Source organism: Homo sapiens, chromosome 8, assembly GCF_000001405.40.
Source record: "Homo sapiens chromosome 8, GRCh38.p14 Primary Assembly".
Lineage (NCBI taxonomy): Eukaryota > Metazoa > Chordata > Mammalia > Primates > Hominidae > Homo > Homo sapiens.
Genome location: NC_000008.11, coordinates 95,242,166 through 95,269,860, shown reverse-complemented (window position 1 = coordinate 95,269,860; position 27,695 = coordinate 95,242,166). Strand labels below are relative to the sequence as shown.

Here is a 27,695-nt window from a genome sequence, read left to right as displayed (position 1 = left end):
CAAATATGCTCTTAACAGAACAGCTCAGTAATGGTTTCCTCCACATCAAAACGTGCCTATTGCTGCAGCAGACGCTTATGCAGAGTCTACATGCACTCTCACCGCAAAAATTCACACAGCCAGTAGTCGTGGCCGAGTGGTTAAGGCGATGGACTAGAAATCCATTGGGGTCTCCCCGCGCAGGTTCGAATCCTGCCGACTACGGGAATGTCAGCTTTTTGCCGTCAACACTTACTTTTTGTGTTTTAGAGCGTTCTGCTCAAACCTTCCACAGATTTCAGGAATTTACAAACGGCTGAAACACAACAGGGACCCAAACGGGAGAGGAGAGAATGAAGGGGCGAGAATGCGTGCTTGTGGTTACAACGTGGGCCCGGGAGGGGGAGACGGGAGGAACCACGCCAGACATGCTGAAAGGAAGAAACGCAAAGCATCGCGAGTCACACAGACACACTGCAGAGACAGCTCCGAACTCTGTCCCTGCATACGCCCGCCCCTCACGAACCCACCGCGTTCTCTGCCGCGAGCCCTCGTGGGCGCCGGGTTGCCACGGGAAGCGGTGCGCATGCGCGGGGACGCCTAACGGGGCAGGAGCCCGCCAGGTCCCCTCGTTACTCCTGGAAACCACCGGAGCCTTGGCGATTGGAGGGGAAAAGGCCAGGCGATTCAAGATGGCGGAGGACCTGGACGAGCTCTTGGATGAAGTCGAGTCCAAGTTTTGCACACCTGACCTTCTAAGACGGGGTATGGTCGAGCAGCCCAAAGGCTGCGGCGGCGGCACCCACAGTAGCGACCGGAACCAAGCCAAGGCGAAAGAGACGCTCAGGTTAACCGGGCGGGAGGGGTGGACTGTTCTGGTAAAGCCCTGCTCCAGGCCCTAGAGCTGCCCCTCCGCCGCCCAACCCAAAAGAAACGTGCCCGCGACCTCCAGCCCCTCCTTGCATCAGGGTTCAGACCCTCAGCGCCCTACCCTCCGCGGCAGCGCATTCGTCGACCCTCTTCGCGGATTCTGGCACCTCTTCACTCAGCGCAGACTCCGCCCCCCGGCATGCCCCAGAGGGCTGGCCCCCGCCCCGCCCCGCCCCGCCCCGCCCCGCCCCGCCCCGCCCGCAGAGCCCGCAGTCCGCGCCAGTCTCCTTCATCCTGTTTCTGGCTGCCAGCGCGTAGGAGGTTCTAGTCGGGGACCGGGATACCCCTCAGGCGCCCCGTTCTTAACCCCGAGAGGGCTGTGCTGACCTCGGCCGCATTTTGCCTCTGTGTGGCCAAGCGGTTCTCATCTCCCTGTGAGGTGCCCTGTTAGACAGCCTCATCCCATTGCCTCAGACCCCACTCCCCAGGTCAATCCTATTTGTCTTTAGCTCAGTTTTGTTGTTTTGTTTGTTTTTTGAGATGGAGTCTCGCTCTGTCGCCCAGGTTGGAGTGCAGTGGCACGATCGTAGCTCACTGCAGCCTCCAACTCCCGGGTTCAAAGATCCTCCCACCTCGGCCTACCCTAGCTGGGATTACAGGCACGAGCCTGTAATCTGGGATTACGTAAACTGGGATTACAGGCACGAGCCCGGTTAATTTGTATTTTTTGTAGAGACAGTCTCACTGTGTTGGCCAGGCTGGTCTTGAACTCCTGAGTTCAAGCTGTCCTCCCGCCTCTGCCTCCCCTAACTGCTAGGATTACAGTTGCGAGCCATCGCACCTGACTCAGTTTGTTTTATTTTTTTAACTCAGGGAGTTAAGATGAGATTAAATTCATTACAAAAGGGTTAATTATTGTGAACATTAAACCGTCTACCTTCCTTCTCTCCATGGCCCCCTAGTTAAGGGTGCCAGACATACATATGGAAATTTAAGGACATTTCTTAAGGTATTTTGGTTTTTTATCTAAAAACTACCTTTCAAATTTACCAGTCGTTTTTCCTCCATGTAATTATTAAATAATAGGATTTCCTTCACTTCCTCATTTCCCCCACAACCCCTCAAAAAAAAAAAACAAAATGTTTGCATAAGAATATTGACCTTCAGTAACTCTTGCTAGAATCTTTTGGAAATTGCCTCTTGCCTAGAATATTTTGGAAACGCTTGTGAAATTACACGGAGGCAACTTTGGATCAATCTAAGAACGTCATCTCCGTTAATTTTTTTGCTGCATCTTTGGTTTGGTTTTGGTTTTTTGGTGTGTGTATGTGTGATTTCCCAAAGTATTATCCAACTCTGTTACTATCCAGTTCACCTGGCTTACCTCCAGTGATATTTATTTATTTTATTTACTTATTTATTTATTTTTGAGTTTCGCTCTGTCGCCCAGGCTGGAGTGCAGTGGCCCACCTCAGCTCACTGCAAGCTCCGCCTCCCATTCCCCTGCCTCAGCCTCCCGAGTAGCTGAGACTACAGGCGCCCGCCACCACGCCTGGCTAATTTTTTGTATTTCTGGTAGAAACGGGGTTTCACCGTGTTAGCCAGGATGGTCTCGATCTCCTGACCTCGTGATCCACCCACCTCGGCCTCCCAAAGTGCTGGGATTACAGGCATGAGCCACCGTGCCCAGTCAGTGACATTTATTTATAAAAATTCACTCTGCGAAGATAAAAGCATCGAAAAAATTCTAAAGGAGTACATAAACAAAATTTCTAAAAATTAGTTGAGTTCTGAGCAGCATTTTAAAACAAAAATTAGAAACAACTATAATTACTATGAATGGGCTAACACTCATTTGGCTGGATGTTGTAAATATCACTCTCATTAACTTTTATTATCTTGTGTACTGGAATTCCTTATGTATCTATTAGCGCATCTACCATCCCTATCCCACAACAGTGTTGCTTTGCAATTTCTTTAGTACTTTTCGTTTGTCCTTCTAGGGGATAGAACTAGTCTATCAAGGAGCTTTTCAGAGCTGTTCATCTTAGGAGAACTAGCATGCGGAGGGGCAGGATGTATTGAAGCCAGCTGCTCAAAATGGAAAGGACTATTTATGTGGATCTTCTCCAACCATGGGTTGTGTCATGCCTGTTCTTGCTCTACTAAAATTCATCCATAATATTTCTAGTACCTCAGCCCACCTTAATACATTAGATTTTTTTAGTACTAAGTAACATAAAAGCCTTAGTGAAACAGTACTGTTGTCATTTATATTAAAACTTTTCATCTGGCAATGTAGTTGTAAATTGTACAAAAAACAGCAACAAAGGGCCTAAACCTTATACCAAATATAGTCCCAACCTGGTTTATAATGTTATATATTAAAATTTTTCCTTGAGCCAAAATTTATACTTAAAAGCTAGGAAGCAATTTATGTTTGAATTTATTGACAGGAGATTACCTACTAATTGTATAGCAGTGTAACCTGTATCTCTTATAAGAGTTAAAATACTAATATTACCTCTTAAAATGATACTATAAATGCAAATAATACTATAAATGACCATGCTACATCTGGATACCAGGAACAACTGCTAATGTAAGAGGTCAAAACATGCAATTTGTTGAAGTGTTCAAAATGATAAAAAGAAATATGTGATTAGTAAAAAAATTAAAAAAGACTGATGTGGGTTGAGAAGAACTGCAATAGGAATAAAGTGGTTCAGGATGATACAGATGGGAATATTTAAAGATAATATAGCTTTCTAGATGATAACTATAATAACAGCCAACATTTATTGAGCTCTTTCTGTATGCTAAGTGCTTTGTATATGTTATTTCATTTAATCTTCACAATCCCATGCGTGAATACTGTTATCCCCATTTCATTGACCAAATCAATGCTTAGTTACTTGCCTAAAGTCATATTGCTAAATCACAAGGACATAGTAGATCTAGATTTAAGCTTTCTATATAATACCTCTCACATTTAATTATAGGTTTAAGTGTTTATATTTTATCTTAAATATATGTTTTATTTTCAGCAGAAACTATATCTTTAAAAGATTAGAATGTCAGAAACAGAGTCAGAAAGGGAACCAGTAAAAGCTTATTAACATTTGATTGAGATTATTGTCACATCAAAAGACCAAAAAGAGTCTTATACAGTCCTTTAAAATTATGAGTTCTCAATGAAATGTTGACTTTATTGTTATTACTATAGCAAAGCATAGGCAAGTGTAGGCATTTTGAAATTGTGTGATCTAAGAACAGACCAGAATCTTATGTAAGCTGGTAATTTGGATCTGTAACAGTACTGATTAGGTTGGTGGAGTTTGGATGTATCTGATTCTTGAAATTGTGAAATTGCATGAGGGAGGAGAACCCGGAAAGTATGTCCTGAAAGCCAAAGGAGAGAATTTTAAGAGGACATCTTAGCAACCTCTTATCGAAAAAGAAATATAAGGAATTGGTACCCAACAGTGTCAGATGCTTCTGAAAGATTAAAGAGGATTGGAACTGAGAACCACCATTAGATTGTAGTGATTTGGGCAGTGGAAACCTTCGAGAGAAGAGTTTCACTATAGTTGAGGGATTAGAGGCCAGAAGTAGAATATTATACCTGAAAGAAATTTTAAATAGTCATCTAGATATCATTTTTATAGATAAAATATTTGAGTTTCAGAGAGATTAAATAATTTAAACTAAGTCGGTATCTCTAGACTGGTGATGATTTTGCCACCCAAGGGGCATTTGGCAATGTCTGGAGACATTTTTTATTGTCGCACCTGGGGAAGGGTGTGCTATTATTTAATAGCATCTAGTGGGTAGATGCTGTAAAATGTCCTGCAATATACAACAGTCTCCTGCCCCCACATACACACCCCAGAGAATTATCTGACCCAAAATGTCCATAATTCCAAGGCTGAGAAACCCCCGCCTAGGATTAGCACCCAACTGATTCTAAATCTAGTCTACTTGTAAGGAAGTAGAAATCGTGGATATAGACTATTCTTCAGTAGTGAGTAAGAAAGGGTGGCAGCTTCAAGACAGGGGTTTTTTGAAGTGTCTCTTTGAAGAAGCAAGCCTTGAGCATACCTCTAAGTCAAAGGAAGAAACCAGTATACAGTGAAAGACATTAAGGGTAAAAGTTACAGTACAACTGAAGAGGCTAAGCCTGGAGACAGAATCAACCATTAGGTAGTAGGCAGCCGTCTCTTGCTTTTCTTATATCAGGTTAAATTATTTTACTCCAAGATGTAATGAAGAAGGCCTATGTTAAAAATTGTCAGAGTAAATACATTTCTGAAATTAGAGAGTTTGACTAAAAAACTTGTCTTCTAAAACAAATAATTTAATGAAGTTATAAAGTTGATGTACAGCATCTACTTCATACAAACGCTAAAGAAAGTTAATCTTGTATAGTATTAAGTGCACGGACTGCCCTAGATTCAATTCCAAGCCTTTTCTCCCACTACTTATATGACCTTGAACAGATTTCTGAATCTCTCAGTGCCTTTTCTTCATCTATAAAACTGGGGTTAAATAAAGATATACTCATGTAAAGACTAAGGACAATGCCTGGGTTATAGTAAGTATTCAGTAAATACTTACTATTTAGTTATTAGCTATTTAGCATCAGCTATTAAATAGAAGTTCTATGCAGTAGTGGTTTATATTAATAATCCAGTGATGGCTTTGCCTGCAGAAGGTAGAGGTAGTTGAGTAGTTGAGATATTCTGTCTAACAAATAGCACCTTTTTTTGGGGTGGAGGTGGTCATTTGATTACATGACCTTCGGCCCCTCTAGTAAAGAGGTATGGTTGACTTACAATGCAACCTTTAGGGGAAAAGTCAGGAAGACTCGTTAAAATTATCTTTGTTTATAATATCAGGTTCTGCTTATTGCACATATTTTGTATTAAATACATGCTTTATGTAATTCAGATAAGTACATACCCAGCTTCCTCTTGAATATAATGTATATAGCTGTAAATGTCTGAAGTATGTAATATCAAGTATGTAATAGTATAGAACATATGTGAATTTGTACCTGATAAAGTATATCTTTGTCTCAACAAACTTAGACTATATCCACAGTGAAAAAAATTAAAATCACTTTTATCTTTCTATTATCAGCTCTAATAATGGACTTTAAGCAAAACTCTTCTGATACTAGCTTTCTCTGCTCATAAACCTCAGGTAAGTTTTCTTTGTGTATGTCTTCTTTTCAGATCAACAGAAACATTTAAAAAAGAAGATGATCTTGACAGTCTTATTAATGAAATACTTGAAGAGCCCAACTTGGACAAAAAACCCTCTGTAAGTCAAGTGTTATAAATATGTAGTAATTCTGTCATTATTTCAAGACATGTTTAGAATAGTCTTAAAGATGACACAAGTAGCTACCCATTATCTTTTGAATTCTGAGAAATACAATTACTTAAAGAAATTATTACACTTAAAGAGCAGTAGAAGCAGTAAAATATCAGAAACTCTCAGTATGTGTTTCCCTGTGCATTTCTCAGTAAGAATAACAAATTAGAAAAGCTGTTAGCATAGAAGTCAACTCACACATCAAGCTGGTCACTTGTATTTATTTGTAGTATCTAAGGACACTTTTCTAAAAGGCCAAAAACAAACAGCTTTCATTGTAGGAATGTGCTTAGCACCTCACATGCAATGCCATTGCTCTTATCCCATGAAGCAATGACTAAATTGTTAATATTTCAGTTTTTTAAATGTTTGTATGTCTATTTTAGCTGCATAAAAAGTTCAGAAAGTAATATAACAGCAACCTATATACTGAACATACCATGACAGCCACCCATATTAAACATATATTAATGTTTTGCCACATTTGCTTTACTGGACCTTTTTTTTTAAAAAGAAGTACAAATTAAAGATATAGTTTAAGACCTCTCTAAATCCTATTCTATTGCCTTCCTTCCCAAAGATAACCATTTATCCTTTCCATCCATACATTTATACTTTCATTACATATGTACATAACCATAAACAATTCTAACTGTGTACAGTAGTCCATTGTATAACTCTGCCACAGTTTATCCACTTCCCTGATGATGGACATTTAGATTGTGCTCAGTTGTTTGCTATTACAAATAGTGCTTCATCAGATACCTTTTTTTTAATCGGAGAAAAGGCATACAAATTTTGACATGTACACAGGGAAAACCAGTGATTACGCCTTCATTAGATATCTTTACATGGCTTCTTTTACCCATATACGGAAGTTTCTCTAGGGTGTATAAAGCTAGAAGAGGAATTCCTAGGTCATAAGGTGTGCTCATCTTCAACTTTTCTACCCATTGCCAAATTGTTTTCCAAAGTGACTTTATCACTTAACATTTTTCATACTGGGCAGTATATGAGAATTTATGTATTTTAATTTTTATCAGTATGGTGTGTGTCAAGCATTATCTGTTAGATTTAAAAGAAAGATACAAAAATAGAAGTCTAATTTACAAAGATCACAAAAAAATTTAAGAAATAACTATAGTACCAGGGTTTTGTTTTTTAAAGGATAGGGAAGATAAAAGCAAAACAGTGGACTGAAAATACCTAGGTAATGGTTGTGGTAAGAATATGGATAGGGACCACTTACATTTTTGTCACCCAGACTAAAAATCAAGTGACTAGTATAGATTTTAGAAAATTAAACTTTTTCAATTCACCTGAAGTAAATTAATAAGCACATGCCAAGTTGAATAATATGTAAACACAATAGCAATATTAAATACAGTCATTCCTTGGTATACTCAAGGGATTGGTTCCAGGACCCCCACATATACCAAAATCCATACATACTCAAGTTCCACAGTCAGCCTTACAGAACCCACCTTATGAAAAGTTGGCCCTCTGTACGTGGGGTTTCGCATGCCACAAATACTGTATTTTTGATCCTTGTTTGGTTGGAAAAATTCCACATATAAGTGGACTTGTGCAGTTGAAACGCATGTTGTTCAAGGGTCACCTGTACCCTGCAAATAGAATACTTCCTAAATACTGAGTAAGTGCATAAGCACTGAATAGTAATGCCAATTAGTAGTACTAATTAATGGTAGAAAAAAATTACATCATTTTGTTGCTCTTCATTAATCATCTGAGCAATTCATTGTTTATTAAGTACCAATAGGGTGCATATCTGTATATGAGGCGCTATCTTTTCAGTTAAGGTGTTTCAGAAGAAGATAAGTACTTCTCTGGTTTGGCTTTAAGATATACTAATTTGAAATAAAAGTAGCTCTTATAATCATGAAGAAGTAAATTTTTAATCATGATCTTTTCCTTTTTTAGTTATGTATTATGTCCAGTTTTCCAACCTTCAAAGGAGACAGCAGGTCTAAGTAAAACATTTATTGGGAAAAAAAAACATGTATTAACAAAAGAAACATAGATAAACAGATAGTCTATGCCAACGTTGTCATTAGAGGCTATATTATGCCCTGACAATACTACTCCCTTACCGCACCTCCTGCTCTCCCATTCTGTCGCATTTCTGAACTGTTCCCAGACCCACACAAGAAAGCCCAGGAACCAACAACAAACCTCAGAGTGTGCCAGCTTAGAGTCATAAGCCTGAGTCTGGATGGCACATGAAACATGCTCCCCAAACAGAAAGATTCGTGCATATTATTATTTTTCAAACATGTACCAAAATTTTTTCCATTTCTGCTTAACATCAAATAAGAGTTGAGAGACATAGTAAAACAATATTTTCGCCTCTATTAAATTTCCTCACCCACTATGTAAAATGAAGGCATGTCTCTGCATAGTTTAAATTGCCTTTTCTCCATCTCACTTCCTCTCCTTGGCGGTGGTCCTAGTGTGTGGTTGGTTTATGTTGTTTGGTACCATATACCAGTTAACACTTAATAAATGCTTGCTAATGATGATGATACTATGTAACCATATAGGAACTACTGTATGGTTGTGACTAGGTAGTTCTACATTTTCCTTGCACATTTATTGGTTGATGCCATTCCATTTGATCAAAATTAATATTCCTGAAGTTACACAGGAGCTTGGTTAATTTTAATTCATATGACGCACATTCACAGCCTTTAAAAATGAGTCTGAGGTTTTTTTCCTCCTCAATTGAATTTTTCTAGAATGAAGTTTTAAATAGCAGGTCCTTCATATTAAATCATTGAACTGTAATATTAACTGAAGAGTTATAAAGTGACTCTAAATCTTAGCATGCTAATAATGGCAATATATCAGTTTCCTAGCCTAAAAGTTAGTAGAGTAATTTGCACATTCCTTAGGGAGTTCTACTTCCCTTTTGCCTTTAAAAGGTTTTGATCATTGTTTTTATTTCAGAAACTTAAAAATGATGCCATGAAAATTTGTATTTAAGTCATTTAGAAAATATTCTTGTTATAAGGAATATTAGTTTTCATGTTACAGTTTTCTAAGTTACTCATGGCCTTTTATTGTTTTGCTTTTTTAACAGAAATTAAAATCTAAATCTTCAGGTAACACATCTGTCAGAGCTTCCATTGAAGGCCTTGGTAAAAGGTAAGTTGAGATTGCTTTGGTGAATTATACACACTATTGAGCAAACACTATGAGCATAGTCTAGTAGATTTTGTTACCATTTAAACAGCAGTGACATTGAACAACAAAGCATTGGTTGGCCTTCAGGAGAAAGACCAATAGCAATATCTTCAGTGTTCTTATGGTCTGTGACCCCCTTTGTGTAAAGGAAATTAAATGGGGGATTATTGCTATTGTAAATAATTTTCTGCCATTTAAAAAAAGTGTGAACAGTTTCTCAAAATTAATGTTCTGTTATATTCTTCAGTATTTACTTTGTCCCTTACATTATTTGGCAAACACATTTTTCTTTTACTCATTTTAATTCCTTGAGTGTTCCTGAATGTACAGGTTATATCCAATAAAGCAGTGATCCTACAATAAATATCTCTTCTTTGAAATGGTTGGCTTGCTAGGGAAAATAGACAATTTGATTACAAGAACATAAAGTCAATAAAACCAAAAATTTTTTTAACATGGCCAAATTAACTTCTCCTATTTTTTGTTATAACTTCATATTTTTGCATCTGTTGAACACATCTAGTTGCAGTCCGGTGTACCTTGGTGGAAGCTCTATTCCATGTGGGATTGGAACAAATATTTCATGGAGGTAGGTTGTCAGAAATGTATTATACTTTCTTACTAGGTTTTTTCCAAATGGATGCCCCATTGTTAAAATGTAGTTATCATCTTCACATCAATCTGTTTTATAAGGAGAGGTATTTTTATTAGCTAATCTAAGAATTCTTTGTTTTTTATTCTTGGGAGATAGCTATTGAAAGCTGTGATGTTAGGTACATATTATTCATTTTATGCCCTTTTCTAAGCCCCACTTGAAATGCCTGGATCACTCCAGTCCCAGCTTTGTTTCCACAGGACACAGGAGAGTGAACTTCCTTCCAGGCAGTGGAAGCAAAGTGGCCATGCAGATACATGATGCCTTACCCACACTGCCTTGGCCAATTAGCATGCAAAGCTACAGGTCTGCATTGCCCAAAACATTCTCAAGCGTAGTTGCTTGATTTTACATGTTTACATATTTCAAAAACAAAAACCTTATGTTCTTTGTCTCTTCCCTGCCCTTCCTGCCTCCACTTTCTCACTCAGTACCTCTTTCTGGGCAGTCTTATAGTCATGATGCCACCTACCCCAAACCCATATTAGCCCCATAGTCCTAGCACATTCCATTGGCATTTTCATAATGTGGGCAAACAGTTTGGCTTTAAGCAAACCCTACTCTCCTGCTGCTTTTGGTTCTATTTTTGGCAGAGGTCTACTTACCTAACTTACTTTATTAAAATACTTTTATCTAATTATTTCTAAAACACTTATTTTCTGTTAATTTTTTAAGAAAGAATGGCCTAAGTTATATGATTGCATGTTGACCACATTTCTGGAGGGCTAACTGTTGTATAGTCAAGTGTCACCAACAAGGATACATTCTGAGAAATATGTCATTAGTCATAAGTCATTATGACTTCCTCATGTACAAACATCATAGAGTGTACTTACACAAACCTAGATGATATAGCCTACTCCACACCTAGGCTAGGTGGTATACTAGCCTACTACATACTACTAGGCTATAAACCTGTGTAGCATGTAACCGCACTGAATACAGTAGGCAGTGGTAACACAATGGTAAATATTTGTGTATCTAAATATTAAAAAGGTACAGCAAAAATACATTGTAAAAGATTTTTCAAATGGTACAGCTGTATAGGGCACTTAGCATGGACAGAGCTTGCAGGACTGGAAGTTGCTCTGAGTGAGTGAATGAGTGGTGAGTGACTGTGAAAGCCTAGGATATTACACTAGTATAGACTTTATAAACACTGTAGCTTAGGCTACACTAAGTTTACTTTTAAATGTCTTTAATAATATTAACCTTAGCTTACTGAAACTTCATTTATAAATTTTTTTATTTTTTTAACTTTTGATTCTTTTTAATAACAATTTAAAATACATCGTACAGCTATACTAAAATATTTTCTTTCTTTGTATCCTTATTCTATAAGCTTTTTTCTATTGTTTCATTGTTTTTTACTTTTTTTTTTTTTTTTTTTTTGAGACAGAGTCTCGCTCTGTCGCCCAGGCTGGAGTGCAGTGGCGCAGTCTCGGCTCTCTGCAAGCTCCGCCTCCCAGGTTCACGCCATTCTCCTGCCTCAGCCTCCCGAGCAGCTGGGACTACAGGTGCCCGCCACCACGCCCGGCTAATTTTTTGTATTTTTAGTAGAGACGGGGTTTCACTATGTTATCCAGGATGGTCTCCATCTCCTGACCTCATGATCTGTTCTCCTCGGCCTCCCACGGTGCTGGGATTACAGGCGTGAGCCACTGCGCCCAGCTCTGTTTTTCACTTTTTAAACTTTTTTGTTAAAAATGAAGACACAACACTCACATTAGCCTGGGCCTATACAGGGTCTGGGTCATCCATATCACTGTCCTGCACTTCCACATCTTGCGCCACAGGAAGGTCTTTGTTGCGGGGGTACAACACGCATGGGGCTGTCATCTCATAGTAACAGTGTGCCTTCTTCTGAAATACCTCCCGAAGGACCTGCCTGAGGCTGTTTTACAGTTAACTTTTTTTAATAAGTAGAAGGAGTACATTCTCAAATAATGATTCAAAGTATAGCATAGTAAAAGTATGAACCAGTAACATAGTTTATTATCATTATCAAGTATTATGTACTATACATAACTGTATGCACTACTTTTATACAACTGGCAGCTCAGTAGGTTTGTTTACATCAGCGTCACCACAAACACATGAGTAAGCATTGTGCTATATAGGACAGCTATGATGTAACTAGGAATAGGAATTATTTAGCTCCGTTATAATTCTATAGGACCACTGTTGTATATGTGGTCCGTCATTGACCAAAACATCACTGGGGCAAATTAATTATATTGAATAATAGAAGTGGGAGTTAAAAAAAACATTGTTGGAGGGTTGTGGTGGTGCCAGCCTACATCGAAGGACAATGCCCAGAAGGTAGGGCTATAGGACAAAAGTGAAATTAGGAGTCTGGAGAAGCCTTATATGGGAACACCAGGCAGCCAACAGGCTAATATAAATCCACTGGAATGTTACCTACTGTTAGAGCTATAAAGAAGAATTAATAGTAATTGAATCACCATGTGTTGAGGACTCTCTGTACAAAAAAATTAGAGATACAAACTGCCTGTAGAGGTAGTGTTGTTGCTGTCAGTCCTAAATTGCCTGTCTCAACTCAGTTGGGACTTGTCTCCGTCATTTTCAGAGCCATGCCTCCTCTATTCCAGGCATCTCTCAAGTCACCCATGAGCCACAGCAGCAGTTTCCCAGTTATCATCCACTTACATCTTTTCTAATATCACCCACATATAGCATTCAAGATAATATCCCTAAAATACTATTCTGAGTGCCTCTCCTCTATTCAGAAGGGAAGTGAGAGTTGCCATTTGTCTCACATTAACTCTAAACTCACTATTTGCTTTACCAAATTGTTATCCTTGTTGTTCCTCTTCTCTCTTTAGTTCCTTCAGCTCCAATTAAAGCCTGGGTCAGATATTCCACTGCCACTGGGATGCTTGTCATTCTGTACTTTCCACTTATGTTTTTCTGTGTCTGAGTATATTTACATTTATTCCCTATCTGGAACAACACTCCCTTCTAATGCATGTCTCCTGCTGCCTTATCTGTTTAATTCACACACTGCAGATTGATTTTTCTATTTAAATTTTTTCGATTTTTTAAATCCATTGAATGCCCATGTCCTAAACCCTGTGCTAGCTTATCAATAAAAGGCAAAACACTGGCCAGTAAGGAACAAAGAAGCAAATGATTACTCCTGTGGCCTGAAATGGAAGGGCTCTGATGACAGAATGCCTGAGTTCAAAGCCTCACTCTGCCACTTACAAGCTCTGAAGCCTTAAGAAGGGATGTTATCTTCTAAAACCTGTTTCCTCACTCTTAAAAACTAAACATATTTCATGGAGATACTCTGAGGATTAAATGAAATAATACATGAAAACTATGCCTATGGTGCAAAAGACAGCTAGGTACTGCAGGCACACTGGGTTCTAATTAAGGTGTCTTTCTCATCCATTAGTCCTGCTTTCTTGTTACGTTATATCTCAGGGACAAGAATCTTTATTCTACTACTAGTTTTCCATTTTATCTCAGGAAATACATATAATTACAGGTGCCTTCTGTTTTTACAAATGATCTTTTAAAAAAATACATTCTGGTTTACTTCTAAAAAGTAAACATTTCATTAAGATTTTCTTATGTATGAAATATTTTGTACGTACTTTGATTTAGTTGTAGCACAGACAAAATCTATGTTAGATGGAATTTCAGTAAACCAAAGAACAGCCTGTTTTCATAGCTCGAGGCTCCTATCACATACTATTAGTCCAAGTGGGATGCCGAAATCAATTATACCTGATTTCTACCTCCTGCACAGCTGTAAGAAGAGATACCAGTTGCATATATATGCGCAGGTAAATGTTTGTATTCACAGATTTTTTATTAGTTGCCCCTTTCATGAAACAGAATTTGCACCCATAGAAAGACAAACACATGTGTTCATCTGCATATGCAAATTTTATGTGTGAAGTACTTTATACTGTCCAGAGCACTTTTTATATATGCATATTGACTTACCTGCTCCACAAGAGAAAAACCCAAGATGCTGATCAAGAATTTTTACCTCCATTTTATAAATGAAGAGATTGAGGTACTTGTGTTAAATTCATCAAACACATATTAACCACCTGATAGGTCCTAAGGATTAAATGAACAAATTTTGATGAACAAATAAATGGACACTTCCTGTCTTCAATGAGCTTTCAGTCTAGATGAGGAGATGGGCTTTAAATAGATTATTCCACAAATAAGTATTTATTTTCCATTTGATATGTGACATAAAGGGAACATATGGGATACTATAAGCATAGATAATGGACACTCTAACTAATATGAAGGGTCAGGGAATACTTCTCTGAGCAGATAATCAAACCACAATATGAAAAATGAGTAGGAGTTAGACAAAGAGAGGTGACCATTGGAGCCAGAGCACACGCATGTTTAGAAGCTCCCTGAGAAGGGGAGGAGCTGGGGGTGTTCCTCTGGTGGAAGGAACAGAGAGTATCTGGCCATGCTGGAGCATAATGAGTAGGGAAAGAATGGCCACTGACTGGGCTGGAGAGAGAGTGGAGGGACATTTGGCTTAGGGTCCTGTAATCCTTTTGAGGATTTTGGAAAAAGTTTGTCCTGTGTTCAATGGGCCAGATTTGTGTTTCTTAAAAAAGTCATGTTGGCTGCTGTGCAGAAAATGGCTTGGGAGTTGGAGGGGCAAGACAGGAAAGGACACAGGAAGACTAGTCAATGGGCAGTAGTTAGAGTGGTCCAGGAAAGAGAAGATGGGAGCTGTGACCTGCGTGGTAGCAATGGCTATAGGGAAAAGGTCAAATTTGAAATATTTAGAATATAGAATTGACAGAATTCAGTGATTGACTAAGGAGGGTAAGAAAGAAAGTTGTTAAGAATGACTCCCAAATAAGGTGCCTTGCTCAAGGTCATATCAGTTATTGCAAAGCAAGGATCCAGATTGGTTACTTGATTCCTAATCCATTATGCTTTCTATTATACCACTTAGCAGAAAGCCATGTAATATGGGAAGAATCTTAGCTGATGTTGCTGTTGGAACTGCTGTTATCTTCAAACTATCCAGACATCAAGTTTCTTTAGTCCCATTGTGCAGATCTGATAGGATTTAACAGAGAACCACAGTGTCTGGGCAGAAGATTGTATTGGGTTGGATTTGGGGCATTCCTGTCGTAAACATCTTTAAAATAGTGAATTCTACTTTTTAGCTGGACAAAAGAACAAAGCTCTTGGTGACATCTTATGTGTGATTCCCTCTACATTTTAGAGGGAAAGACCTGACAGTTTGTCTTTCACTGGAGTCATGACTTTATATTAGATATGCTTTTATGTACATAGTTATGAAAGAGAAATATATTTCAGCCCTGAAAAGAGTACTGATTTACATGGCCAGGGCATAAAGGAAATTGAATCTATCCTGCCTATTTGCGTTGTTTGATTTCTAGATACAGCTCTGGCTTGAGGTAATGCTGAATGACTTTAGATTTTAGAAAAAGATTTGTCTTTCACTTGTTGGTGGAAAAGGGGAGAGAATAGTAGTAGGAAGCATGGTGGCAGTAATAAGTACTACAGATAAAACGAAGGCATTTTCAAGCCAATCGAATTTTACTCTCAATTATTTTTTAAACAACTTGCAAGACTGGATTATTCCATAGACTGGTACTAATTATGATCTAATAGAGTAAATCGTAGCAGTGGAATGATTTCTTAGCTGCAAGTTAGTTTTATGTTTCTCAAAGGACAGTGTTTGTAGGAAAATGTGGTGGTGTGAATAGATTTGAATAAACTACTAAATTTTAAATTAAATTAAAAAGCTGTATTTAGCATTATGGTTGAGATTTTACACATACAAAATGTCAGGAAATTCTAAATTATAGTTCCCACAACAGCAATAATTCAGCCAAATTGCACATATGTATTAAGGCATTAAAGTTAACACTCTGTGCAATCATGTAATAAACTATATATGCATAAGAAAGCAGGTCATAGTAGCTTTGGGAACTATCAATTTGCATTTCCTGACTTGTACATTCGAAGTCTGAGTTCAAATGTGTACAAATGTAGTTGTTGAATTTCCAAATGTAGAAATGCAACTTCATAAATTGCTAACAGTTTGAAAGAAAATATGGACTTGCCTATGAAACTTGTATAGGTTTTAAATGTTTCATTATTATTATGGTTAATAGTATTTTTAGAAATACAAAGCATTTATTCTCAAAGAAATTTTCAGGCCAAAAGTATTTGCATTTTGAAATTAGCGTATCTGAACTTTGAAGGGAAATAAATGAAAAAAATCTAATGATGAGTTTATTTTTTCATTACAGAAGTATTATGTGCTTAATGAAAGAATAAAAACAAAATTGAAACATGTATAAAGAAAAAGATAATAATCTCCCTTCCTTCCCTTCAACCACTCCTGATGCAACCAGGGTTACTGTGTAGTATATAACTTTCTACATTTTGCTCCATGTTCTTTTTTTTTTGAGACAGAGTCTCGCTTTGTCGCCCAGGCTGGAGTGCAGTGGCGCGATCTCCCCTCACTGCAATCTCCGCCTCCCGGGTTCACGCCATTCTCCTGCCTCAGCCTCCTGAGTAGCTGGGACTACAGGCGCCCGCCACCATGCCCAGCTAATTTTTTTGTATTTTTAGTAGAGATGGGGTTTCACTGTGTTAGCCAGGATGGTCTCGATCTCCTGACCTCGTGATCCGCCCGCCTCAGCCTCCCAAAGGGCTGGGATTACAGGCGTGAGCCACCGCGCCCGGCCATTTTGCTCCATGTTCTTATAAACTTCTAGCCACCTATATAGGAATTTTTTGTGGGGGTCGTTTTTACAAAAATAGGATCATGCTATATATGTTAGTGTGCACCTTGCTTCAGATATCCCTCCAGGTTAGTATATAGTCTAGTTATCATGAGCATTGTTTGTTTCTTCTCTCACTGCAATCAAAGCTCTATGAAGACAGAATCTCATTAGCACATACCAGACTCTCAATAAATATTTTTTGAGTGAATGAATGCATTATGCCAAGTTGTGAGGAAGCAAACAAATACAATCTTTTCCCAGCGCTTAAGCAGCTTATCTGAAAAACAGATTCATTTCAATGTCATGTGACATATTCTTCGGTAGAGATATTCCTGAAAATTTCAGTAGGAAGGGGAGCATTTAAAGAAGTTAGCTTATATGACGATCTCCCTCAGACGTAATTTGAAAACCATGGAATTAAAAGATCTACAAATCTATTTTCTTTCATATCTATATAATATATGTGTAAGTTCAGTGTACAAGATCATAGTAAAATAGGTAGGTTTGTGCAAAAATTTAACCTTAAGGTTTAGACCGTAAATAATGCTTTAGTATAAAGATTTATAATCAGATTAATCTGTACTTTTCTGTTGTTTATTCAGTAATCTGTAATATGTGGTGTATCCTATAAATAAATCACCATGTTTTCATTGGTATTTAAAGATACCAATAATCTTTAATATACAATTTTTTTTCTCTGAACAGAGCATGTGACCATCTGCGTTGTATAGCCTGTGATTTCTTGGTAGTCAGCTATGATGACTATATGTGGGACAAATCGTGTGATTATCTGTTTTTCAGGTATGTTGCTAAAGAACTTCACTCTGAAAAAAGTACCAAGTAGTTTATATTTCCTATTTTGATATATTCTCTCTGGGTGGATTCAGCCAGATCTTGTGGGCTTCACCTCTTCAGTATAGTCATGTGCTGCGTTATGATGCTTCAGTCAACGATGGACTGCATATATATATATACATGGTGGTTCCATAAGATTATGACGGAGTTGAAAAATTCCTATCACCTAGTGACATCATAGCCTTTGTAATATTATACTGCAATGCATTGCACATGTTTGTGGTGATGCTGGTATAAACAGTAACATGCTGTAGAGGTTTGTAGCCTTGGAACAGTAGCCTATACCATATAGCCTAGGTGTGTGGTAGGCTATACCATCTAGGTTTGTATAAATTCACTCTTTGATATTCCCACAATGATGGAATTGCCTAACAAAGCATAAGCAATGCATGACTGTGTTTCTGTCATCCATCTCCTTCTCTCCATCTGCCTGCTGTCAGCCTAGATAAGGACATGTTACTTCTGGACAAGAATACAGAAGTAACCTCCTCACTGGTTTTTCTGGCTACAATCTCTTCTCTCAGACCATCCTTCCCTTGTTCAGAATTAAAGCATAGCTCAGAGTATACCGTCCTCCTGCTCAACACCCTTCCACTTACAGAATAATGTCCAAATTCCTTAGCATGGCATTCATGACCCTCCATAATCCAGCTCCCATCCATCCATCATCCAGCTTTGTCTTCCCACAATGTATATTTCACCTTTGCAAGATTTTAGCTACATCAGAGTACTCAAGGCTCCCATTCCCTCTGACTTTGTACAACCTCTTTACCTCTTGGGATGCCTTCCCACCATTTTATCTACCTAAACCCTACCTGTCCTTCAGAGTATAATTCATCACATGTCTTCCATGATTCTTTCACCACTCTCTCAACTGGAAGAAAACTCTTCCCTTCCTGTGTATTCACGGTGCTTTGGACCTATTATATACTGTAATATAAAACTGAAGCTCTTAGGTTGGTGTATGACTACCTCCCTCCTTGTGGCTGAGATAATGTCTTGCTCATATTTATATAATTTGTACATTCTTATACACTTACAGAATACCTACTATCTTTAAGGTGTTACAAGTTATAAAAATATATTTGAACTTTACATTGACATTTTCAAATAAAAATTTAAAGCTAAAAATTAATACAGTGTAATATTGCAGCACTTTTCAATAGCATAAAGAAAAGGGTAAGAGACTTTCCCCTACGCCTTTTTTGGCAGCCATTCTTGGGTAAATCTATGAGTATACCCTAATTTAATAGTTTTTAAACTTTTTCACATCAAGAACCACTTTGCAAATCTTATGAAAGCTTTGAATGCCCCTCATACACATACAATTCAAATATAAAAATACATGGAAAAATTATAACTTGAAAAATTTTACAGTTTCCAACCCAAATAAAGCCTAATGTACTCCCAAAATCTGAGGTTAGGAACCCATACTTTTAGGCTTAGCCCACTTTTTACCCCATAAGTGGAAAAGTTGGCTTTTAATTACAGGTTGACTTTCCCTTTTCTGACTTTTCTAAACCCTCTGCTATTTACTGTCTACTAGTTAATCTAATAAGTGGTTAATAATCCCCATATGTCACCAAGATGAAGCATGAATTTTTATAAAACTATCATAGGATAATAAAATGCATGTAACATCAAGGCAGTGGTGAACACAGGCATAAAGTAAACTATGGATAACCTAGTCGGTACTTGAGGAACTTGCAGCATCTCAGAGTTATCAAGAACACCAGTTGGTTTACCCTAGATCTGTGGCAGCCTGGTTTAAAAAATATATGTACTTTTAGATAAAACAGTGACAACTAGAGGATTTATTATACTATTAAAAATAAACAAGTAGTCATTATTTAAATCAGTAGAAAATACTGTCTCAGTTCTCAAGACACTTAGGAATATGTTTGGGAGATAAGAGAATGGAACAGCTAAAGAATAAGGCGGTCTCCACCATTAGGATATAAATCACTGATAGATTTATTTTGTACAATATATTGGTGTTTACCAGTAGACATTATTCAGCACCTAGTCTATGACACTCTTAGATACTGGGCTCATAAGATGAGAGGAACCCAGGGGAAGGGAGACATGGGTGGGGACAAGCATGTGAGCAGCAAGGTCATAGAGACAATAGGGTCAAGAGCACTGATGGGAGGTGAGCCTTGGATAGGAAAAGGAAGACCTCTGTGACTGAGAGGAAGCCAGCAAGGTACTGATGTGTTCAGGGTGAGCTTGCCAGGAAATTGAAGGCTTTCATACCTGGCGACCTGGTTTTGAGAATGAAGATGTGATCTGCTGAAAATAAGGGAGTGGAGGAGGATGTGGAATAATCACTGAGGAAACCAGAAGTGGACAGTGACCAAAGACAAGTTAAATGTTACACAGTGGAATGCTGTGCAGTTGTTTTATTGTCCTATTTTACAGATGAGAGAAATAAATGTATCCTATCTTTGAGAAGTTTTAGAACTTTTTTTTTTTTTCTGAGCCAATCTTGCAAACCCTGTTACCCAGGCTAGAGTGCAGGACTGCAGTTTCAGCTCACTGCAACCTCCACTTCCCAGATTGAAAGGATCCTTCGGCCTCAGCCTCTCGAGCAGCTAGGAATACAGGTGCGCACTACCACATCCAGCTAATTTTGTAGAGATGGGGTCTCACCATGTTGCCCATGCTGGTCTCGAACTCCTGAGCTCAAGTGGTCCACCCACCTTGGCTCCCCAAAGTGCAGGGATTACAGGCATGACCCACCACACCCAGACAAGTTTTAGAACATTGTAAAAGAAGTGTCAGCTATACTTACTGACCACCTTGCCACAACAGCTGAAGAAAATGCTTTTATTTTTCTATTAAATCGTGTTTTCTTTAAGAATGGAATGATTTTTCCCTAAGCTTTTAAGATACGTGCATTTTAAAAACCATTTCAAATGTCATAATTAGATCCCTGCCTATTCATGATTCCTAATCCTAAAATCGCTAAGGATTCAGTCAAGTATCAAATGTTAAGTTTTCAAAATATTTTGCAGATCAAATAAAGGACATTTTTCCTCAACAACTTAGTTTTGGCGGGGTTTTTTTCTTTCTGTTAAAATTTAGATTATTCATTTCTTCCCTTAGCTAAGTCGTTTAGCTAGTCAGTCTGTTTCCTGAAGTCAGACAGTTGGCTTGGAAAATCTGTCAGGTTTTGTGAGGTTCTAACCTTCTAAATTGTGCCTGAATTTCGTACAGTTTAATACTGAATATGGTGCCCATTGACCACCAGAGGGCACTTTGTAGCCTGCCTTCTGTTGCAGTGATATCCACAAGCAATGGTTAGGTACCGTATCTCTTTTTCTGGTATTCATACTGTATTTCGTCCTTTCACTTTGTATTTTTTCATCTTTTTTAAAAATTTTTTCTACTTTTCTTTGCCATGGAATGTTTATATGAACTCATTACATGGATTATCATGAAATCATAATTGATGTTTTTATTAATTAAACTTCTGTAGTCTTTTTTATAATAGTATGAAATCCAGTGTTTATCATTTTTACGATGGCCCTACTTGTTGATTTAATTATTTCAACATTATTAATATTTATTTCAGGATAGACATTTTTGTTGCTGATAGTATGAATAAACAGATCATTGAAGCTAATGAAAATTTTCTATAGTTAATTCATCAGAAACCTATGATCTTTATGCCTCTAATGTTCTCTCAACTTGCCATATTACAGGCTTTTAAAATATGGCATAGGTGAGTATCTGAGGTAGGAAATGAACCACCATCCTTTCCACCCTATTTTCATATTATTTCATCTCTGATAGGGCGTTTGTAATTCTTCAGCCTTTAGGTTATTGTGTTCTTCAACATTCAATAAACTGGCCTAGAGGATTGCCATAAAAAGTACAGATTATCAAAGAAATACCATCAGAAAGAGAACACTGAAGCATATCTTCTAGTGTTAGTGTGAGGGGATCTAGGTTGTTTAGTGTTCAGATACGGGGAAGATAAGAAAATAGGCTGGGCACCATGGTTCATGCCTGCAATCTCAGCACTTTGGGAGGCTGAGGTGGATGGATCACTTGAGCCCAGGAGTTTGAGATCAACCTGGACAACATACTGAGACCTCATCTCTACAAAAAAAAATTTTTTAAGCCGGGCATAGTGGCACATGCCTGTGGTCTCAGCTACTTGGAAGGCTGAGGGGAAGCCTGGGAGGTCAAGGCTGCAGTGAGCCATGATTGTGCCACCGCAATCCAGCCTGAGTAACAATGAGACTCCTAAAAACAAAAAAAGAAAAGAAAAGAAAGCAATGACCTTTTTTTTTTTTTTTAATCATTAAGCACTGAACAAAGCCACTATGCTAAAACTTTCCTGTTTTACTAATAGGAACAACATGCCAGAATTTCACAAATTAAAAGCAAAGTTGATAAAGAAGAAAGGAACACGGGCATATGCCTGCCAGTGTAGCTGGAGAACTATTGAAGAAGTGACTGACCTTCAGACAGATCATCAGCTTCGCTGGGTTTGTGGTAAACATTAAGAATGCAGACTGCACATTCGGACAGATGCATCCATGAGAGTGGTCTCCATGAATCATCATCATGTTTAGACAATAGTCCCTAGCAATACCATTCCCTGTGGGAAAAGGCAGTGAATTTTATTGATACAACTACATACATTTTTGAAGACCAAATGGACTAAGGAAGATCATGTATTATAACACTTTGGAATTATTCCTGATACATGGATGTTTCACTTAGTAACAGGCATCTACATTCTTTACTAATCTGTCTTCTGTTTAATAGAGGTTTGATTATGGAGTTCCATACAAATATCTAGTTTTTCATTAGCAACTGCAATATTGATTGCTAATACGTTTAGCAAATCATTCCCCAACTTGTAGCAGTTAAAGTGGATAAAGCCGGCCAGGGCAAAGAGATCATTTAGGGGTGTCTACAACACTTCTTCCAGTCAGATCTTTTGTTGCCAAAGATCATAATTTGGACATGGCAGAAACCAGGTGATCAGTGGCTGACTGAAGGGTGTTCAGAAGTAGTTACAGGTATTTTGCAAAAACACTGCCTCATAGCTGATCTTACCTCATCAACTCAAAGCAATGTTATGCACAATATTAAATACATGTTACCAGTTTTAGCTTATTTTTCCCTCTTTTGTTCATTTAACTATCAAAAGTTATTTTCTATTTTGATTACCCAATAATATATAAAAAGAGTTTGATGCACCCAAAATCACAAAAATCCTAATACATACAGGTTATTGTTGGATTTTCCAAGTACTTTCTATCCTTTAATGCCTAAAACTCCATCAAGGGAAGTAAACAGCAAGTAATATAATTTTTCAGGCAGCCTGTGGACTTCTCTGGTAGGATCAGGTTGACATATCGTTTATTAGGTGAGTAAGTGAAAAGACAAGTAAAGCATAACTGAACCAACAGGTAACCTGTTGGGCTCCTTCCTGACATCACTGAGATCTGAGGAGCCCTACAATAGCAGCACATTCAGGAAATCAGGTCCCTCAAAATTTCTAGCTCCCAACCCCATTGAGAGATTTTGGGAGCTTTCCAATCTGCCACAAACTCCCTGCTACATATGTACTATATAGTTCAAATGTGTGATACAGAGCACCCTGAAAGGGAATAATTGAAACAAAGTTATAATCTTCTTAGTCTTATGCTAAATTTATTCCAGCCACCCTACTGAAGGGAGGAAGATCTGATCATTAGAATCCTTTTCCTAGCCATGACACATTTACATACTTGTAAAATTTATTGTAGTAAGTCTAGCATTGCAACAGAATAGATCTTATAATGGCCAATCCTCACACTTTTGTATTAAGGATATTATGACAGACTAAGCATGGTAGCTCACGCCTGTAATCCCAGCACTTTGGGAGGCTGAGGCAGGCAGATCAGCTGAGGTCAGGAGTTCAAGACCAGCCTGGCCAACATGATAAAACACCATCTCTACTAAAAATACAAAAATTAGCTGGGCGCGGTGGTGCATGCCTGTAATCCCAACTACTCGGGAGGCCGAGGCAGGAAAATTTATTGAACCTGGGAGGCAGAGGTTGTAGTGAGCCAAGGTCGCGCCACTGCGCTCCAGCCTGGACAACACAGTGAGACTCTGTCTCAAAAAAAAAAAAAAGACATTATGACAGATTTTATCTTTTAATAAAAATGTATTATATCCCTAAAGTTATATCTATATGTAATTGAGTCAGAAACCTAGGGGGATGTCGATTGAAGTCGACTGCTGGAAAAAAATAGCAGAGCAACAAGATCCACACATTTAGAACCTCATAGAATTTGACACATTATTCATAATGGTGCAATTCTTTCTTTTTTATTCCAGTAAGCAAATTTACTAAATCACTAATTTGAAAAAAAAAATTTTTTTTTTGAGATGGAGTGTCACTCTGTTGCCGGGCTGGAGTGCAGTGGCACGATCTCTGCTCACTGCAACCTCCGCCTCGCAGCTTCAAGTGATTGTCCTGCCTCAGCCTCCCCAGTAGCTGGGATTACAGGCACACACCACCACGCCCAGCTAATTTTTGTATTTTTAATAGAGACAGGGTTTCACCATGTTGGCCAGAATGATGTCGATCTCCTGAACTCGTGATCCGCCCGCCTCAGCCTCCCAAAGTAGCCTACATTGCCTCTACTTTGAAGGGACAAAGTTGTCCTGGTTTTTTTTTCCCTTTTATTATTTCATTATAACTATCCTAAAACTTACATACATTGCCTATGTTTGGCATTCCATAACATAATAATTATAATAATCCCCCAATGTCAGAAATGTATGTGTGAGTTCCCATGTTTATTGGCAATTTATAAGCTTTTTAATATTGTACTATTTTAAACTAAAATGTAGAAAGAATATTATGTTTATATACAGTCAGATAAATTATTAACTGTTGTAATTTAAGCTGAAAATGAAACTATTTTAGTATCAGTATAGAAGAAAAGTATAGTTTCTAATCATCTATAATTTTAAAATGCAAAGCCTATAAAACTTTCAAGATGTTTTGCCTGTTTGTTTTTAAGATTTATAATAATTTTCTATCTTTAGCAAGTAGCTATTTTTAAGCCAGGTAACTTCTTTATTTGAACTGTATTATACTCTCAGACCCTCATCCTGCCTAGAAATGAATAAGTAATAAATAATTACTCTGTATTATTTACTTCTTTTATTTTATAGTAAAATATTCATTTGGATGGACATTAATTTGAAATCATTTTGATGTTTTTTTTTTTTGAGACAGAGTCTCTCTCTGTTGCCCAGACTAGAGTGCAGTGGTGCAATCATAGCTCACTGCTTCCTTGAACTCCTGAGCTAAAGCGATCCTCCCACCTCAGCCTCCCAAAGTGCTGGGATTACAGGTGTGAAGCACCATGCCCAGTCAAAAAAAATTTTTTTAATGTCAACAGAAAAGTTTCCAAGCATCCAGTTAAACAGATAATTTGTCTACACTGGGGAGGAGAAGTATGCCATAACTCTGATGTGTGTGTGTGTGTGTGTGTGTGTGTGTGTGTGTGTGTGTACATGCATGTGTAAAGAGAGTATGTGTGTGCATGCATGTGTAAAGTACCATGGGTATTCAAAGGAACAGGTCCAAGTTTAGGAAGAACAGGCCATGCTGACTTGGCGGTGTATACCTAGAACCTGTTCGTTGATGTCAGTAAACTTAGTACCTTTTTTTCTTAGGCCAGAGAATATGTCATCAGACTATGAATCTGAATTGCTTTCTCTCTTTTTCTTACTGATATTTAAGAATATGAAAGAAAAAGGTCTTTGTATCCAAAAGCATTGTGATGAAGCTTAGCCATGAATTTCAAATGCTGATATTTCTAATGTTTTAACAAAATCTCTATCAGCCAACCTAATGCTCCCAGTAATCAGCAATATCTCTTGTATAAAATAGTTCCTGAAAGAAAAAATTTAAAATACGCAATCTCTTTAGAGATTTCATATCTTATTGTATTTCATTGGGTTTGTGACATCATTTTGTGCCCTATTTTAAGAATGCACTAGAAAAACCAAAAAAGAAAAAAGATTGCATTAGATATGTATATATACAAGTACATGATAATTAAATTTGACTTTCCCCAAATGCCTTGAGATAAGGGATGACCAAATGAAGTTTAACAAAGTCAGAGTTCAGAGTCGTGTCCCTTAGAAAGTCACATGACATTTTGGGCTTCGTTCGCCTTAACTGTATGAATTATAATACCACTTTTGTAAGTTTGTTGTAAGGATTAAATCATATAACACATGAAAAGTGACTAGCATAGTGTTTGGTTCAGAATAGGTGCTTAATAAATGTTCTCATTCTTTTGTTATTATTATACTTTAAGTACTGGGATACATGTGCAGAACGTGCAGGTTACGTGCAGGTTTGTTAAATAATTATACACGTGCCAGGGTGGTTTGCTGCACCCATCAACCTGTCATCTATGTTAGGTATTTCTCCTAATGCTATCCCTCCCCTAGCCCCCTAGCCCCCAACCAGCCTCTGGTGTGTAATGTTCCCCTCCCTGTGTCCATGTGTTCTCATTGTTCAACTCCCACTTATGAGTGAGAACATGCAGTGTTTGGTTTTCTGTTCTTGTGTTAGTTTGCTGAGATGGTTTCCAGCTTCATCCATGTCCCTGCAAAGGACATGAACTCATCCTTTTTTATGGCTGCATAGTATTCCATGGTGTATATGTGCCACATTTTCTTTATCCAGTCTATCATTAATGGGCATTTGGGTTGGTTCCCAGTCTTTGTTATTGTGAATAGTACTGCAGTAAACATACGTGTGCATGTGTCTTTATAGTAGAATGATTTATAATCCTTTGGGTATATACCCAGTAATGGGATTGAACTTCTGGTTCTAGATCCTTGAGGAATCGCCACACTGTCTTCCACAATGGTTTGTTCTCATTCTTTTTCCTTTTAAAATAAATACTGTCTAAATTGAAGTAATAGTGCAGCATGATTCTTACAACAAGTAATTTGTAAAGATGTTTGTTTTATTTATTCCCTATGAGGAAAGCAGCAATGCGATCATTTATTTATAACTAGTGACTGTACACATGGCGACCTTTATTTTATATAAGTTGAAGCCACAACTTTTCTATTAAAAAAAAAAAAAAAGATGCTCCCCCTAGCCTGCCTCTTTCTGTGTGGCTTAAACCTAAGTGGGTCATCATGAAGGCATTCAGGCCTTTCACGATATCTTTTCAGTTTCATCTGCCTCTGCTTTCCTCCTTCTCCAACCAAACTGCGTACCTGCTGTTCTTCAGATATACTCCCTCATCTTATCCTTTCAAAATCCAACTCATTTTTCAAAGCCAGTATCTTGTACAACAGCAGTTCTCAAAGTGAGTTCCACTCTCAGGGGTCTTTCAGGTAGTCCACAAGATCAAATCTATTTTGAGTCAGAAGATATCAGTTTCCTTCTTCACTGTGTTGACGTTTGCGCAGATGGCGGAAATGGTAGCTAGCACTGCTGGCACCTGACTTAGCACCATTCAAAGCAATGATGCTATGCACCTCCCATAAAAAAAAAGCCAGTTTCAGTTAAGAATGTCCTTGATAAAGGCAGTAAAAATTATTATCTTAGCCTTCAACAACTTGTCTTTTAAATATTCTGAGTGACTAAATGGGAAGTACAACTAAAGCACTTGAGCAATTGTCTGAGTTGTGAGCTGAATGAACTGCTTTTTTCGTTGAACCCATTTTTGCCTAAAACAACAGCTGACAGACAAAAACTATGAGTACTCAGAAAAGTAATAATATGAGTCTCCTTCAAGAAAATAACTGACAGAATGTTAAGTGAAAATTAGAATTTCAAAATATTTGTATCCACTGCGAGCATGTCCCCATTATTTAAATTCTTTCCAGATAAGACTAGTGGTGATATTAACAAGCAATTTTTTATACTATATAATGAAATGTGACAATATTTGGAAGATCTGTATAATTCA

At 37.8% G+C, this 27,695-nt stretch overlaps 1 protein-coding gene, 1 long non-coding RNA gene and 1 other non-coding gene across 12 annotated transcripts in view, besides 2 other annotated features; 2 read left to right on the top strand and 1 right to left on the bottom strand.

Moving 5' to 3' along the window:
- The window catches only part of CFAP418-AS1 (CFAP418 antisense RNA 1), a 541,308-nt gene extending 540,283 nt beyond the window's left edge, over positions 1-1,025 (bottom strand). For all 9 annotated transcript variants that reach the window (NR_038201.1, NR_038203.1, NR_038208.1 and 6 more), the window contains exon 1: positions 971-1,025. This is a non-coding gene — a long non-coding RNA (CFAP418 antisense RNA 1). The remainder of the gene's footprint in view (positions 1-970) is intronic.
- Positions 35-674: an enhancer, noted in NCBI's record as "H3K27ac hESC enhancer chr8:96281415-96282054 (GRCh37/hg19 assembly coordinates)". NCBI's record gives its function as "activates a minimal SCP1, AML or CMV promoter by ChIP-STARR-seq in naive H9 embryonic stem cells {active_cell/tissue: H9 hESC(naive)}" and the evidence as "EXISTENCE:reporter gene assay evidence [ECO:0000049][PMID:30033119]".
- On the top strand, positions 123-204 carry TRS-AGA2-5 (tRNA-Ser (anticodon AGA) 2-5). The gene has a single exon. It is a non-coding gene; the product is annotated as a tRNA-Ser (tRNA).
- Positions 629-1,068: an enhancer, noted in NCBI's record as "active region_27655". NCBI's record gives its function as "activates an Ori minimal core promoter by ATAC-STARR-seq in GM12878 lymphoblastoid cells {active_cell/tissue: GM12878}" and the evidence as "EXISTENCE:reporter gene assay evidence [ECO:0000049][PMID:35858748]".
- On the top strand, positions 660-24,948 carry CFAP418 (cilia and flagella associated protein 418). Of its 2 annotated transcripts, NM_177965.4 has the most exons (6): positions 660-826; positions 6,087-6,174; positions 9,329-9,393; positions 9,956-10,021; positions 17,578-17,673; positions 22,091-24,948. In NM_177965.4, exons 1-6 carry the CDS (start codon positions 672-674, stop codon positions 22,242-22,244), a joined length of 624 nt encoding a protein of 207 aa, NP_808880.1. In that variant the 5' UTR covers positions 660-671; the 3' UTR covers positions 22,245-24,948. The 2 variants fall into 2 exon arrangements, with proteins under 2 accessions (NP_808880.1, NP_001350189.1); NM_001363260.1 differs by lacking the exon at positions 17,578-17,673.